Source organism: Homo sapiens, chromosome 4, assembly GCF_000001405.40.
Source record: "Homo sapiens chromosome 4, GRCh38.p14 Primary Assembly".
Taxonomy (NCBI): domain Eukaryota; kingdom Metazoa; phylum Chordata; class Mammalia; order Primates; family Hominidae; genus Homo; species Homo sapiens.
The window spans coordinates 15,507,368-15,523,281 of NC_000004.12; the positions used below are offsets into that span (position 1 = coordinate 15,507,368).

General features: G+C 41.2%; 1 protein-coding gene and 1 long non-coding RNA gene across 6 annotated transcripts in view; one reads left to right on the forward strand and one right to left on the reverse strand.

The window, feature by feature from the left end:
- Positions 1–15,914, forward strand: part of CC2D2A (coiled-coil and C2 domain containing 2A) — a 131,693-nt gene that overhangs the window by 37,503 nt on the left and 78,276 nt on the right. For all 5 annotated transcript variants that reach the window (NM_001080522.2, XM_047416010.1, XM_011513872.4 and 2 more), the window contains 5 exons: positions 2,772–2,873; positions 3,880–4,056; positions 7,340–7,502; positions 8,501–8,637; positions 9,258–9,389. In NM_001080522.2, the coding sequence (NP_001073991.2) occupies positions 2,772–2,873; positions 3,880–4,056; positions 7,340–7,502; positions 8,501–8,637; positions 9,258–9,389 (711 nt within the window). The remainder of the gene's footprint in view (positions 1–2,771; positions 2,874–3,879; positions 4,057–7,339; positions 7,503–8,500; positions 8,638–9,257; positions 9,390–15,914) is intronic.
- Positions 245–7,340, reverse strand: LOC124900672 (uncharacterized). The gene is made up of 2 exons (XR_007058062.1): positions 7,089–7,340; positions 245–743 (listed from the first exon to the last, which is right to left on the reverse strand). It is a non-coding gene; the product is annotated as an uncharacterized LOC124900672 (long non-coding RNA).

Sequence of the window (15,914 nt, forward strand, 5' to 3'; positions counted from 1 at the left end):
CATTTTTATTCTGGCCATTACTGGACATCTAGCTGCACCTAAGTGAAATTTGACAGCACCTCACTTTAGCTGTACCTCCAGGTTTCATTCCAGGGTATCCCTTCCTCTCCAGAAGGCTTGCGGAGGCCCACTCATGTATTCTGACACATATGCAAGACTGGAAGCACCAACTATGTAGAGGCCAAGGGGACACTTCCTTGTCACCCTCTGAAAGTTCACTGAAAATCAGCTGACAAAAGGCAGATTAATAGGAGAAAAGGCATACACATTTATTAGTGTGCAAGGAGTAAAGATAATTACGTACCCTTCATCCTAGAGGAAAGAGAGATGGAGAAGTGTGGGTGATTTTAGCAAGTAGAAAATGATTTTTAGGGGAATTCAATGGGCTTGGAGAACGTAACAGTGGCCTCGGACAAAGTCTGTTGGGCCCGCAGAGCAGACAATGGTTTTTGACTAAAGTCTGTCCAAGTGTGTTGATGGACTTCAGTCTTTCTTCCTGCGATATGGGTACAGTTAATGAACACTCAGGAGAGGGACCAAAGGTCACTGTTTTCTTCTTTGGCAGGTTTGGACTCAGGCAGCTAAGGGAACTTCAGAGAACAACCTCATCCTGTGCTTTAGGAGAGATAGGGAATTTGGCATCCAGGGTAGGGGAGGTCAGAGAGAACTTGAGGCTTCTTCTTCAGTTCAGCATGTCAAAGCACCATATTTTGGGCCATCTGTTTCTGAGCCCCTCCAACCACCTGGGGGACAGAAGCCATTAGACAAATATTCCCCTCTTCTGTGTCCCTGGTGGACAATTCTGAGAAGCAGTCTACGTGACTCCTCAGAGGATCCCTGTGGGTTAAACTCTCTTGCCCACAGTGGTAGCCTTGTCAATCAAGTTCTCCTGCACTCACTTTCCACCTGCTTTATTCTTCCCAGTCCCCAGTTCCTGTTCTTTGGTGTCACTTCTCAGAGTCAACTACAGGCACAGAAAAACCCTTGCCACAGGCTCTGGTTTCCCATGGGCTAAACTAAAATGTTTAGTCGTATCATATGAATACAAACTATAGACCAAAAAAAAGACATGTAAGAAAAAGCTAGTAATATGATAATAATGGCTACCATTAATGCACCTGACTGGTTATATTTTATGTACATTTCCTTATTTGATGCTCTACTCAAGTGGCCTAAGTTGTAAGTGGTACAGTTAAAATTCAAAGCCAGGCAGTCAGACTTTAGAGCCTATGGTTTCAACTGCCAAGCTCTACAAGACAGTGCCTGATATGAATCAGACAATTTGATTCCAAAAAGAGAGTTCATTTTAGGATGGAGAAAGGAAGTAGCTTTGTGTGGTCTTGAGGAACAGGTAGGACTTGGGAAGGATATATTGAAGGTCCCCAGTGAAGATGGCACACTACATGACTGTTGTTGGGTGACAGTTATTCCATGCTGTGAAATAATTCTCTGTCCATATAATAATGATCAAGTTTCTGTCATAGGTAGAATAAGTATGTTCCTTCTTGCCATGAACACCTATATGTGCTACTGGGATGGCTTAGAATTGCTCAAAATTGCTTGACATTTAGATTGTGCTTCATGAAAAAGGAGGAGTATCTGGGTTTTAAAAGGGGTGGATTAGAAGGAGAGATGGGTAAGAAGTTGGAAACAGCACCTTGCAGATTAGCTTTCAGAGGCAAAAGGGAATACCCATATGATAACTATCACATAGAGCAAGTAGAGACAGAGGGCTCAGCTTCCCAGGGTGGATAGCAGGACCAGAGGTTCAGTGAGGACAGGCCATGTACCCTGGAGGATGTGTGTTGGACTTACTTACAATCAGACATTATCAATGTTTTTCTTTATAGACTGTTTGGAAATGATCCTCTGTGAAGTGGATAATCTTAATTTATAGGATGAGATAACACTTTTTTTTTTTTTTGAGATGGAGTCTTGCTCTATCTCCCAGGCTGGAGTGCAGTGCTGCAATCTCAGCTCACTGCAACCTCTGCCTCCCAGGTTCAAGGGATTTTCCTGCCTCAGCCTCCCCAGTAGCTGGGATTACAGGCGCCCGCCACCACGCCTGGCTAAACTTTGTATTTTTAGTAAAGGTGGGGTTTCACTATGTTTGCCAGGCTGGTCTTGAACTCCTGACCTCAGGTGATCTGCCCACCTCGGCCTCCCAAAGTGCTGGGAGTTCAAGCATGAGCCACTGCATCTGGACAACAGTTTTCATTTTAAAGCTTATTGAGTATACAATTTTACATTTGTTCAGTCTTGAGAGAGACGAGTTGAGTAAGAAAATATCAACATCAACCTTCAAATATACAGTCATGCATCACTTAGTGATGGGGATATGTTCTGAGAAATGTGTTCTTAGGCATTTTCGTCATTGTGTGAACCCATTGTGTGAAGGTACCTACACAAACCTAAATGGCATAGCCAACTACACACCAAGGCTGCAAACCTGAAGAGCATGTTACTTTTCTAAATACCATAGCAATGTAACACAATGGTAAGTATTTTTTTATGTAAACATAAAAAGGGTACAGTAAAAATACCGTATTTATAGTCTATGAGACCTCCGTCATGCATGCAGTTCTACAGGCTGTCGCTATGGAGCGCATGACTGCATTTGAAATTTGCCAGCATTCCATGCCTTAGGAATGATAAGATGCAGCAGCAGTCAGAAGATAAGCCTTTGGGATGGGGGGGTTAACCTTCATTTTAGAACAGCCTAAGTTTCTTGGGTTAAATGGTTTATCTATCATTTTTTTCCACTCATATAGCCAGGGAAAGAGGTAGAAAGGACTCAACAAGAAGTTGACTCCCAAAGTTACTCAAGAGTCAAGTTCCATGATTCTGCACGAAAAATCAAGCCTAAACCCCAGGTGAGAAATCTTGTTTTTTAAAATCATTTGTTTGTTTGTGTTTTTTACAAATATCCAATGACACATGACTACAGGCCGGGTGTGGTGGCTCACGCCTGCAATCCCAGCGCTTTGGGAGGCCAAGACAGGCAGATATATTGAGCACAGGAGTTCAAGACCAGCCTGGACAACATGGCGAAACCCCATCTCTACAAAAAATACAAAAATTAGCCAGACATGGTGGCACACACCTGTGGTCCAAGCTACCTGGGAGGCTGAGATGGGAGGATCACTTGAGCCCATGAGGTCGAAGCTGCAGTGAGCCATGATTGTGCCACTGCATTCCAGCCTGGGTGACAGAGTGAGACCTCATCTCTTAATTAAAAATAAATAAATGACTACATATATAACCTGACTCCTGTTGCCATGCAGTTTGCAAGAAAAAAGTATGAGAAGTGATTCCAACTTTCATACTAACTGGAGAGATCAGAATATTGCCTGACTTGAGGATGAGGGAGTGCATGGAAAGACAGGAAATGTTGGTGATAAGACAGTTTGTTCAGCTCTGAAGTTGCCCCGGCTTTCATTATAGGAAAAAAGGAGAGTACTAACTCCAAAAGAGAAACAACAAAAAAAGGTCATTTGTTTAAAAATTCTATATTTCTCATAATACAACAAAACTATCTCAGCATTGGCCAATAAAACAATAAATCCACTGTTTGTCATTTTAATAATCTTATCTAAAGTGTTTACTGCTATAAATATGTATTTACTTGTTGGAATGTAAATAATTGCTGGGGTTTTTTAAAGTCACTAATTAGAGTTACTATTAAAGGAGGCCTCCAACTGCCTGTGGCAGATATTAAAGTTTATTACCAGTAGTCTCACACCTTTAACTAAGACAATATGCTTCGGAGGCCTGGAATATGCCTGATCTCATTAGCATTAAGCCAGCTGTCAGTTAATTGTGCAGAGCGCATTACAGCTTATAAATGGGAAATTGCGATTGCTCCTTGCTTTTCGTTAGGTTCCACCTGGCTTCCCTTCTGCAGAAGAGGCCTATAACTTCTTTACTTTCAACTTTGATCCCGAACCAGAAGGATCAGAGGAAAAACCAAAAGCAAGACATAGAGCGGGAACTAATCAAGAGGAGGAGGAAGGGGAAGAAGAAGAACCACCTGCACAAGGAGGAGGAAAGGAAATGGTATTTAATATCAGGATGGTAATGAGGTGTGGGTGGAGGGCTAGGAGGAAAAAGCTGATGTCCCTGCAAGAAAGAAAGTGGCTGAGGAGAAACCTGCCACCACCAGGAGAATGACACTCCACGTCTGAGTTGAAATCCCAAGTACTGAATTCACATGGCTCCCTGTAGCTCTGGGTTAGACCCTACAATGTGGTAGGAAGAACCTTGATTAAACCTGTTTATTTTTCTTTTGTGGAAAAAAGAATTAAATAATGTGGCTTGAGGGTTTTTCTTGCTAGACTCCACGTAATGATTAGTATTTATTCCATGTGCAAAATATGTTCCTCTGCAAGGCAAATGAAATCTTGGTCTCTCTCTTACCACAACCTTACAAAGTAAGCAGCATTTTGTGCCCAAACACCACACCCAGGCTACAACTCAAATTCTGCAACTGTGGGTGGTATGTGTGAGATAAAAGGAGAATAAGCCATTTAAAAATGGGCAAAGGTATTGAATAGACATTTCTTCAAAGAAGACATACAAATAGACAATAAGCCCATAAAAAGATTCTTAACACCAATCATCATAAGGGAAATGCAAATCAAACCCACAATGAGATACCCCTGCACATCCATTAGAATGGCGCTTATCAAAAAATAAGTGTTATAGAGGATATGGAGAAATTGGACTTTGGTGCGTTGCTTGTAGCCATGTAAAACAGTGCAGCTGCTGTGAAAAACAGTATGGTGGTCCTTCAAAAGTTAACCACAGATTTACAATATGATCCAGCAATTCAATTCCACTCTGTGTATATATCCAAAAACACTGAAGACAAGAATTTGAACATATACTTGTGCACCGATGTTCATAGCAGCATTATTCACAAAAGCCAAAAGGTAGAAGCAACCCAAGTGTTCATCGGAAGATAAATGGATAAACATAAATATACAATGGAATATTATACAACCGCAGAAAGCATGGAAATTCTGACACATGCCACAACATAGATATACCTTGAAGACATTACACTAAGAAAAATAAGCCAGTCACAAAAGAATAAATATTGTGTGATTTCACTTATATGAGCTACATTGTATCATCAAAATCATAGAGACAGAAAGTAGAATGGTGGTTGTCAGAGGTTAGAGGAAGGAGGGAATGTTTAATGGGTATAGAATTTCAGTCTGGGAAGATGGATGGATGGTGGTAAGGGTAGAATCACAATATGAATTTACTTAATGCCACTGAACTGTTCACCTAAAAATGGTTAAAATGGGCCGGGTGCGGTGGCCTGTAATCCCAGCTTTGGGAGGCCGAGGAGGGCGGATCACCTAAGGTCAGGAGTTCACGACCAGGCTTGGCCAACGTGGTGAAACCCTGTCTCTACTAAAATTACAAAAATTAGCTGGGTGTGGTGGCAGGCACCTGTAATCCAGCTACTCAGGAGGCTGAGGCAGGAGTATTACTTGAACACGAGAGGCAGACGTTGCAGTGAGCCGAGATTGCGCTATTGCACTCCAGCCTAGATGACAAAGCAAGACTCTGTCTCAAAAAAAAAAAAAAGGTTAAAATGGTGGACTTCATGTTATATATATTTTACCACATTAAAAATAAGGAAAACACACTAGGATATTCTAGTATTCACATAATTGGCATACTTCTGTGCTTCACTTACAATCTCCTCCCTTGAAAAATGCCTCCCGGAAATGTACTTTTTTTACCTAGATCTACAGAAGCTTGGGAATATTTTAGCTTATTCTATAACAATCATTCTACAAATCAGCATTCAGGCCATTCAACATTGCTTGAGTGTCCTCCTGACATGACAGCTAACTTCCCAAAAGCAAGTGATCTAGGGGAGAACCCAAAAAAGAAGCCACAGTTCCTTTTATGACCTAGTCTCAGGAGCCACATACTGTCACTTCTGCCATATTCTACTCAGGAGAAGCAAGTCACGAGACGTAGTGCACTCTCAAATGGAGGAGAATTGGGCTTCACCTGTTGAAGATAGAAGTCTCCAATTGCGAATATCTTCTGAAATTATGGCACTTTCCTCCAAAGGCCACTTCTCCCTTCCTTTTGCCTATTCACTGCCCCAGAAGCTCTGTTCCTAAAACTGCTCTTTTAAATCACACACATTTGGAAGCCCTTCCCTATAGTCCATGCTCTGCTCTGCCCAGACACTTTTAAAGTATTTTCGTCTTCAAGGTTCATTTAGCCTTTTTGAACAAAGTTTTAGATCCTCTGTAGCCCCTTTCGCTAGCTCCCCTTTTCTGTCTTCTCTGCAGTTTTTCTCTGGGTGATTTTGCTCACCACGAAGCAGAGGTGGGGCAGGAGAAGGAAGATTACACACTGCCATCTGGTGATCTTTCTCTTTTCACTTGTTTGATGTTTTGGCATTCTCTGTCTTCAAGTTAAGTTAAAAGCATGGTTTCTACATAGATTCCCTTTTTCCTTCTTATTCTTTTGTGTACTTGGGGAGGAAATCTTAAGAGGCAGGTAGCTAGACTGCCATCATTGTCTTTAGCTACCTGAAAGTCTCCACAGGATTTTAAAAGATGTTGCTCATAAATGGACACCAGGTTTAAATTTTTAAAAGAAGGAGAAGGAGAAAGAAAAAGAAGAGGAAGGAAGAGAAGACGTTTAGAAAATATCCAAACAAAATCAATATATGTCAGCTAACATTTGTGATTATAGCCTCTTTGCTTTGAATTTTTAAGTGTATCATTTAATTTTATCCCCACAAAGTGCTTAGAGGTAAACTCCATTACTATAACTATCTTATAAGTGAGGAAACTGAGGATCAGAAGGTTAAATAAGCTGTTTCAAGTTCCTCAGGCAGTATATGGTGAAGCTGGGATTTAAACCCAGGCAGTCTGAACAGGGTGTGTGGACTGTGCACCTATACACTTGGTGCCTTTTCCCTTGGTTTAGTGCCAGGTGGAAGGTTAAACTGCTACATAAATTATGAGCCCAATTCTTTACATAAATGGCAAGAAGCAAGCAGTCTCATAGGAGGCCAGATTTGTTGGGATTTTGATTGTTTTGCTTACCACTTCTCTTCTGAAACAGCCATCTCTGATTTTGACATCTTCCAGGTGTGCAGAATACTGCAAAACAATTTTTTTAAAAACCCACTTGTTAAATATGAAAGGTTATATAGTTCTATGCTTTCACTTTTTTAAAAAAAGGAAAAGATAAAGTTGTAGGAAATGTTAAGTTTCATGAGTTTGGTATTGTGAATTATTTTTCTAACTAAGAATCTTAGCATGATTTTTTCTTGTTACTTTTTAACATTATGCAGGATGAGGAAGAACTGCTTAATGGTGATGATGCCGAGGACTTCCTATTGGGCTTAGATCACGTGGCTGACGATTTTGTAGCAGTCAGACCTGCAGATTATGAAAGCATCCATGATCGGCTGCAGATGGAAAGAGAAATGCTCTTCATACCCAGTAGGCAGACAGGTACTTGCTCTTTTTATTTTCTTGTTCAGCTTAGACATCGTCACTTACCTTGTCATGAAATATGGCTAGTGTATAAGGATGCCTCATCTCCAGAACTGATTCCAGTTTCTAATCTAACAATCAAGAAATATCTTCAAACAAACAAAAAAAACACAACATGGAAAAATATCCATTCAACAAACACTTATTGATAGACTAATGGAAGATATACCAGAGTACTGTGGGAACCCTTTATCAAATCAGTGATCCATTACAGGGGCTTAGAGTTTATGAGAACAGCCTTTCTTTCTTCTTAAGTTTATCCCCAACCTTCCCTAAGTCACCATCTCCTGTGTATTTTCTTACTACTCTATGGCGTGATCTTGTAGAGACCTTTGCTTCCTGTTGCTGCCTATCACTCCCACTATGATTCAAGCTCCAAGGCAGCAGGGGCCTGGCCTGGATTCCCAGAGTCTCATCTGTGCCTGGCACAAGGAGGCTCTCAGTAAAGATGTGTTCTAGGAATGAATAAAGCCGTGAATGAATAAATGAGGTAATGATCACGTTCAATCAAATAAACTTGTTCATTTACAAAGCACGTCCTCATACTTTACCTCATTTAATTCTCCCAGAAGCCCAGTTAAGTAGATTAGTATCTCTTTTGTACAGGAGGAGAGAGTTCAAAGAAGTGCCTGGCCCTAATTCACCCAGCTGAAGAGTAATAGAACTAAAACTTGTCTCTCATCCTATGATTTGAATACTACCTTCTTCTCAGTATGCCACACTGATGAGTTACATATTAAATTTTTAGGCGTTTTCTTTAAATACCTGATTCTACAACATACTGCTACAAGTGAGCACATTCATCTTTTCCTTGGTTCTGCTTTTAAAAATTAATTTGGAAAATTTGCATTTTCTAAGAACATAAATGAAATCTCTGGTGATTAATTCACCAAACTGCAGTTTGAGATATTTAGATTGGCCCTAATGTTTATTTTATTTATTTATAAACGATCTAGTCCCTACATATAAAAAGCTTCCTGAGAATGTACAGCCCAGGTTCCTGGAAGATGAAGGCCTTTACACCGGGGTAAGACCAGAGGTGGCACGCACCAATCAGAACATCATGGAGAACAGATTGCTGATGCAGGACCCCGTAAGTGTGCACCCTCTGCTCTCAGGTGTAGCCTGGGCACACTAGACATAGCTTTTATTTTCCTAACAGGGCAGTCATTGCATCCACTGTACTCATTTCCTCTTGAGGTTATCCACAGAAAGTGGTTCATTTTTTTTTTTTTAACTTTCTCTCTCAGTACATTTATTGATCCTCAAATAACATAACTTCTCAACTGCTCAAAACCCATCTTTGCTAGCTAGATCTGGGCTTTTCCTGCTAAACCAGATCCTGGCAACATTTTCCTACTTGACAGAATTTTTAAATTATCCATAGGTAGAATAGTTTCACTTTTGAGTTTTTATTCTGTGTTTTTTTTTCTTAAATGTTTAATTAATAGAAGATAAATTTTTCTTAAGCACTCATTTAAGCTCTTTAAAATACTTTTTAGGAAGCCAGGGTGTATATTTTAAATCAATTGTGAGAAGTGTTAGTGAAGACTTGATTTCTAATGGAAACAGAACTTTTACAGTTCTGTTGGGGGAGGAAGTACATGAAATATATATGTTGACACAGAATTTTCAAGAAATGTTGTTTGTGTTGTGAACCATTTTCTGTTCGATTAGAAGAAAATGTTGCCATTCCCTCTGCTTCATCTACAGGAAAGAAGATGGTTTGGAGATGACGGCAGGATCCTAGCTCTGCCAAACCCCATCAAGCCATTTCCTTCAAGGCCGCCAGTACTAACACAGGAGCAGAGCATTAAGGCAGAGCTTGAAACACTGTATAAAAAGGTAGACACTCCCCTCTCTCCACTTTTATTAAATGAAATTGAAAGTGCTTTGCTTTCTGAATAGCTTGGGGTGCTATATTTATAACATTCTACTTTAATTTTTTAAATAATTCACTATCTTACACATAAAGAACAAACATCAGGCATATTATGTAAGAGTAAGTCTAATTATACTCAATGCATCCCTTCTTTTTTTTTTTTTTTTTTTTTTTGAGACGGAGTCTCGCTGTCGCCCAGGTTGGAGTGCAGTGGCGCGATCTCGGCTCACTGCAGGCTCCGCCTCCCGGGTTCACGCCATTCTCCTGCCTCAGCCTTTTGAGTAGCTGGGACTACAGGTGCCCGCCACCTCGCCCGGCTAATTTTTTGTATTTTTAGTAGAGATGGGGTTTCACCGTGTTAGCCAGGATGGTCTCGATCTCCTGACCTCGTGATCCGCCCACCTCAGCCTCCCAAAGTGCTGGGATTACAGGTGTGAGCCACCGCGCCCAGCCCAATGCATCCCTTCTTAAACAAGGAGTGAGTTTCCTAGCTAGGAATGACTGAGTCTGCATCTTTTTTTACACATCCAGGTTAGCTACACTTATTTTTCTTCTTTTGCCCTCTCTTTTCTCTTGTTATCTCACATTTGCTGCAGGACCACTTCCCATTTGTTGTCTCTTTATTATATAACCGGAGAGTTTCTATCCTTGCAAATCCTTTATATTGTATTTTCCTAAGTCTGGTAACAAGCTGCCTAATTCCAGCCCTTGCTCTACCATTCACTGGGTGAACTTGGCCATTAGTCTCTCATGCCTCAATGTCTTCATCTGTAAGGCAGGCACGATAGCAGTGTCTGCCTCCCAGGCTTGCTGTGTAAATTGAATGAGGTAATCCACATAAGTGTCTAAAACAGACCTAGTAACTGCTGGCTATCATTACAGTTCCCTGCCCTCATATTTAATTGCATTGCTCTTGCTTTCCTGGGTGTATTAATCTGTTATCACGCTGCTGATAAAGGCATACCCAAGACTGGGCAATTTACAAAAAAAAGAGGTTTAATGGACTTACAGTTCTACATGGCTGGGAAGACCTCACAATCATGGCAAAAGGCAAGGAGGAGCAAGTCACGTCTTACATGGATGGCAGCAGGCAAAAAGAGAGCTTGTGCAGGGAAACTCCCGTTTATAAAACCATCAGATCTTGTGAAACTCATTCACTATCATGAGAACAGTGCAGGAAAGACCCACCCCCATAATTCAATCACCTCCCACCCGGTTCCTCCCATGAAACCTGGGAATTGTGGGAGTTACAATTCAAGATGAGATTTGGGTAGGAACACAGCCAAACCATATCATTTCACCCCTGGCCCCTCCCAAATCTGTCCTCACATTTCAAAACCAATCATTGCCTTCCCAACAACTCCCCCAAAGTTTTAACTCATTTCAGCATCAACTCAAAAGTCCATAGTCTAACATCCCATCTGAGACAAAGCAAGTCCCTTCTGCCTATGAGTCTGTAAAATCAAAAGCAAGTTAGTTACTTCCTAGATACAATGGAGGTATAGGTATTGGGTAAACATGTCTCGCATTCCGGTCATGCTGATGCAAGAGTTAGGTTCCCATGGTCTTGGGCAGCTTCGCCTCTGTGGCTTTGCAGGGTACAGCCTCCCTCCTGGCTGCTTTCATGAGCTGGTGTTGAGTGTCTGCAGCTTTTCCAGGTACACAGTGCAAGCTGTCAGTGGATCTACTATTCTGGGGTCTGGAGGACAGTGGCCCTCTTCTTATAGCTCCACTAGGCAGTGCCCCAGTAGGAACTCAGTGTGGGAGCTCCAACCGCACATTTCCCTTCTGCACTGCCCTAGCAGAGGTTCTCCATGAGAGCCCTCCCCCTGCAGCAAACTTCTGCCTGGGCATCCAGACATTTCCATACATCTAGGCAGAGGTTCTCAAACCTCAGTTCTTGACTTCTGTGTACTCTCAGGCTCAACACCATGTGGAAGCTGCCAGGACTTGGGCTTGCACCCTCTAAAGCCATGGCCCGAGTTGTACCTTGGCTTCTTTTAGTCATGGCTGGAGTAGCTGGGACACAGGGCATCAAGTCCCTAGACTGCACACAGCATGGGGACCCTAGGCCTGGCCTAAGAAAACATTTTTTTCCTCCTAGGCCTTCAGGCCTGTGATGGGAGGGGATGCTTTGAAGACCTCTGACATGCCCTGGAGACATTTTCCCCATTGTCTTGGTGATAAACATTCGGCTCCATGTTACTTATGCAAATTTCTACAGCCGGTTTGAATTTCTCCTCAGAAAATGGGATTTTCTTTTCTATTACATTGTAAGGCTGCAAATCTTCCAAACTTTTATACTCCCCTTATAAAACTGAATGCCTTTAACAGCACCCAAGTCACCTCTTGAATGCTTTGCTGCTTAGAAATTTCTTCTGCCAGATACCCTAAATCATCTCTCTCTCAAGTTCAAAGTTCCACAAATCTCTAGGGCAGAGGCAAAATGACACCAGTCTCTTTGCTAAAATATAACAAGTCACATTTGCTCCAGTTCCCAACAAGTTCCTCATCTCCATCTGAGACCACCTCAGCCTGGATTTCATTGTCCATATTATTATCAGCATTTTGGTCAAAGCCATTCAACAAGTCTCTAGGGAGTTCCAAACTTTCCCACATTTTCCTGTCTTCTTCTGAGCCCTCCAAACTGTTCCAGCCTCTGCCTGTTACCAGTTCCAAAGTTGCTTCCACATTTTTGGGTATCTTTTCAGTAGTACTGCACTTCTGGTACCAATTTATTGTATTAGTCCATTTTCATGCTGCTGATAAAGACATACCCAAGCCTGGGCAATTTACAAAAGAAAGAGGTTTAATGGACTTACAGTTCCACATGGCTGGGGAGGCCTCACAATCATGGTGGAAGACAAGGAGGAGCAAGTCACATCTAACATGGATGGCAGCAGGCAAAAAGAGAGCTTGTGCAGGGAAACTCCCATTTTTAAAACAATCAGATCTCATAAAATTCATTCACCATCATAAGAACGGCGCAGGAAAGACCCACCCCCATAATTCAATCACCTCCCACCCAGTTCCTCTCATGACATGAGGGAATTGTGGGAGTTACAATTCAAGATGAGTTTTGGGTGGGGACACAGCCAAACCATATCACTGGGACTGCCTCCTTCAGAAACCTGTGTAATTTTAAATTTGTAACATTCAGCACTGATCACATGAAACAGAATGGGGTGGGTATAACAATCATCATTTTTGTCTATAAAGAGGAATGATGAATAGAGAAAACACAGGCCCAGGCGGATTCTGAGTACAGTCCTGCTGTCCTACTAACTAATTAGCTTGCAACTTTGGGCAAGTTCCTTTACCTCTCTGGATATTTTTCCTTAATTGAAAAATAGGAATAATAATCATTTTCTCTTCCTCATAGGGTCATGATGAGTACTGAGGTGATATATGAGTATGACCTTTTTAAAAATTATAAATTTCTATAAAATATTATTACTGACAAGTATCAGTGGATGGCTACTTTGTACAGAAATGTGATCCTGGAGGCAGATTTACAAAACAAGGGTAAAGATAAGTTCCAGCCCATGAGGAATTTATCGTCTATTTGGTTATATGACAAAAATACATAATACAATTAGTGATCAAAACAATATCAACTTATGCATTTATTGAATAATCCATCAATCTGTATCATCATCCATCCATCCATTCCATTAAACACAGATATGATGAACACTGAATTGTGGGTTAAAGTTAGAAAACAGAAGAGTAATTAATATGGAGGGTAGGGCATGAGGGAGCCAATGGATCTCATCTGTCTCCTTTTGAAATTCTAAACTAATTTAGAAATACACTGGAATCAGAAAGGGATCCAGATATCCCTTGCACTAAGGGTAAAACCAGACGGCAGAATGCCACTTGAACCCAAGACCAGATGGTTTCCTATTCCATTTCTCACGAATTAGGTTCCCCATCTAGACATAAGCTAAGCGGCTCTGGTGTATTTACCAGGTGGAATGCCAAGCAGACCATGCAGGCCAGTGAACAACCTCTCCTTGGAGACAGCTAAGACAGGACAGCTAGGGGCCACTGCTTAGCTTTGCAGGTAACCTGGACTAAGGAACTTGGGCTCCAGCTGACTCTCCAGTCAGACATGTCCTTCCTTCTCTCTTGGGAAGCAGCCAGTAGGACTGGAAGGGTGGGTAGAGAAGGACAGATGGTTTCCTTTCAATACTTTTGAGAAGCAAAATCTTCCTATCATACAAGCAGAAATAGGAAAGTCAAGAAAGAAGAGTTCTACTGACAGGGGCTTGTCATAAAGCATCACAGAGCAAAGGAAGTTAGAGAAGGAAGAAGTCCAAAGGGGCTGACATCTTCCAAGGGCATTTATTGGAGGGCTATGTTTTGAACACAACAAAACATGAAGAATGTCTTAGACTGCACAAGAAAGAAGCAAAGGGGATTAAGTTAAATGGAGGAGATATTATATCTATCTGTTATTCCATAACAGGTCACCTACTAAGTTTATTGTTGAATTGTATACCTCAGTCTTTTTTAAAAATGTAATTATTGTAACCTTCCAATTATTCAAAACACAGTGCTTTTCTTTCACAATTAACATTTTTATCATTGTATTTATTTACTTTAACCTTTTCCTTCATTTATTCAGTCTGTCTCTTGCCAAAAATAGCTTTTCCATTATTCCATGAAATAGGCTTGCCTTTAAGAAAAAAAAAATTAAATGCCTACAGCCTCTATTTTCAGTCTTACTTCCAAACAGACTTTCCACCTAGGAGTTTCTGGCATGATGCAAGAGCAAGGCAATAGGTCGGCAGGCGAAGATTGTTTTGCTCATGTACTGTTAATCCATTTTCTTTCTCCTCTCTGGCTATGCTGAAAGTGACTTAGGGACCAGAACTGGATTACAGTCTTCTACTTAGCAGTGTGCCTGGCACATAGAAATACCTCAATAAAAGCGCAAATTGAATGTCATTAAAATGACTTTGCTGCGTGTATTAAAAGAAATTCCTTCTTTTCTATGCCTATCTCTGACTCAGCTGTCTATCCTGCAAAATACTAGCTTTCCTTAGGTTCTGGTTTAGTCCTGGCATCCACATAATGGAAAACCAAGTCAGAGTGCCAAATCAAAAGTTGGCAATTACAGCTAGGAGCAGGGGCTCACACCTGTAATCCCAAAGCTTTGTGAGGCTAATGTGGGAGGTTTGCTTGAGGCCATGAATTTGAGAACAGCCTGGACAACATAGTGAGACCCCCCTACCTCTACAAAAAATAAAAAGGTAACCAGACATGGTGGCACATGCCTGTGGTCCCAGCTACTCAGGAGGCTGAAGCAGGAGGATCACTTGAGCCCAGGAGCTCAAGGTTGTAGTGAGCTATTATCACACCACTGCACGCCAGCTTGGTTGACAGAGCGAGACCTTGTCTCTAAAAAATACATGCATACATGCATACATACATACATACAAGGAAAAATGTTAAGAAAACAAAAGTTGGCATTTCCTTGGGCCCTTAACAGAGCCTTGATGAATTTATGCCTCAGAGCGCTTGGATCTGATGCTAACTTCACCCGGCAGGATCGACCAACACTGATCACCCGTTTGAGTCAAGCCCAGTTGTTCTTTGGTTAGAAATACTATGCTATTGACTCAAATGATGGATCATGCGCCCTCCTATTAGAGAATTTAAGAGTTTTATTTAGAAGGGAGTTGGTATTCAGCCCTGCCTTTTTGAATGTTTTTTTTTTTTAATTACAGAGGGGGAAAAGGGTAGTTTTTAAAAGTGAAATATTCTGTTCCTAATATTGTCTCAATATTAGGATGTTCTTAAATTGAGATGAGACAATTAAAGACAGAAAAATGCAAAAAGGAATTAGCTGTCATGCAAAGAAAAACTGTTAAACTTCCAATAAGAAAGAATACAATTTAATACATCTTAAGAAGTAATTAGTGCAAAAGTAAAAAATTAAAATGCTAGATAGGACATTGCAGGTAAAACATAAACAATATAAAATGCAGTTTGCCTAATCATGATAGCAAAGTAGGGTTAAAGTTGTTGAAAAGCAGGCCCGGCGCAGTGGCTCACACCTATAATCCCAGCACTTTGGGAGGCCGAGGTGGGCAGATCACCTGAGATCAGGAGTTCAAGACCAGCCTGGCCAACATGGTGAAACCCGTCTCTACTAAAAATACAAAAATTAGGTGGGGGTGGTGAGTGGGTGTAATCTCAGCTACTCAGGAGCCTGAGGCAGGAGATTGCTTGAACCTAGGAGGCGAAGGTTGCAGTGAGCAGAGAACATGCCATTGCACTCTAACCTGGGTGACAAGAGCAAAACTCCATCTCAAAAAAAAAAAAAAAGTTGTTGAAAAGCAGTACAAACATCCCTCTTCCTTCTCTCTCTTTCCTTTGTCCTTCCTTCCTTCCTTCCTTCCTTTTTTATTACTTCCATCCTTAACTAAAAAATACTTAACTAAAAGTCTACTATATTCTTAGCTGTGCTAAATTCTGGG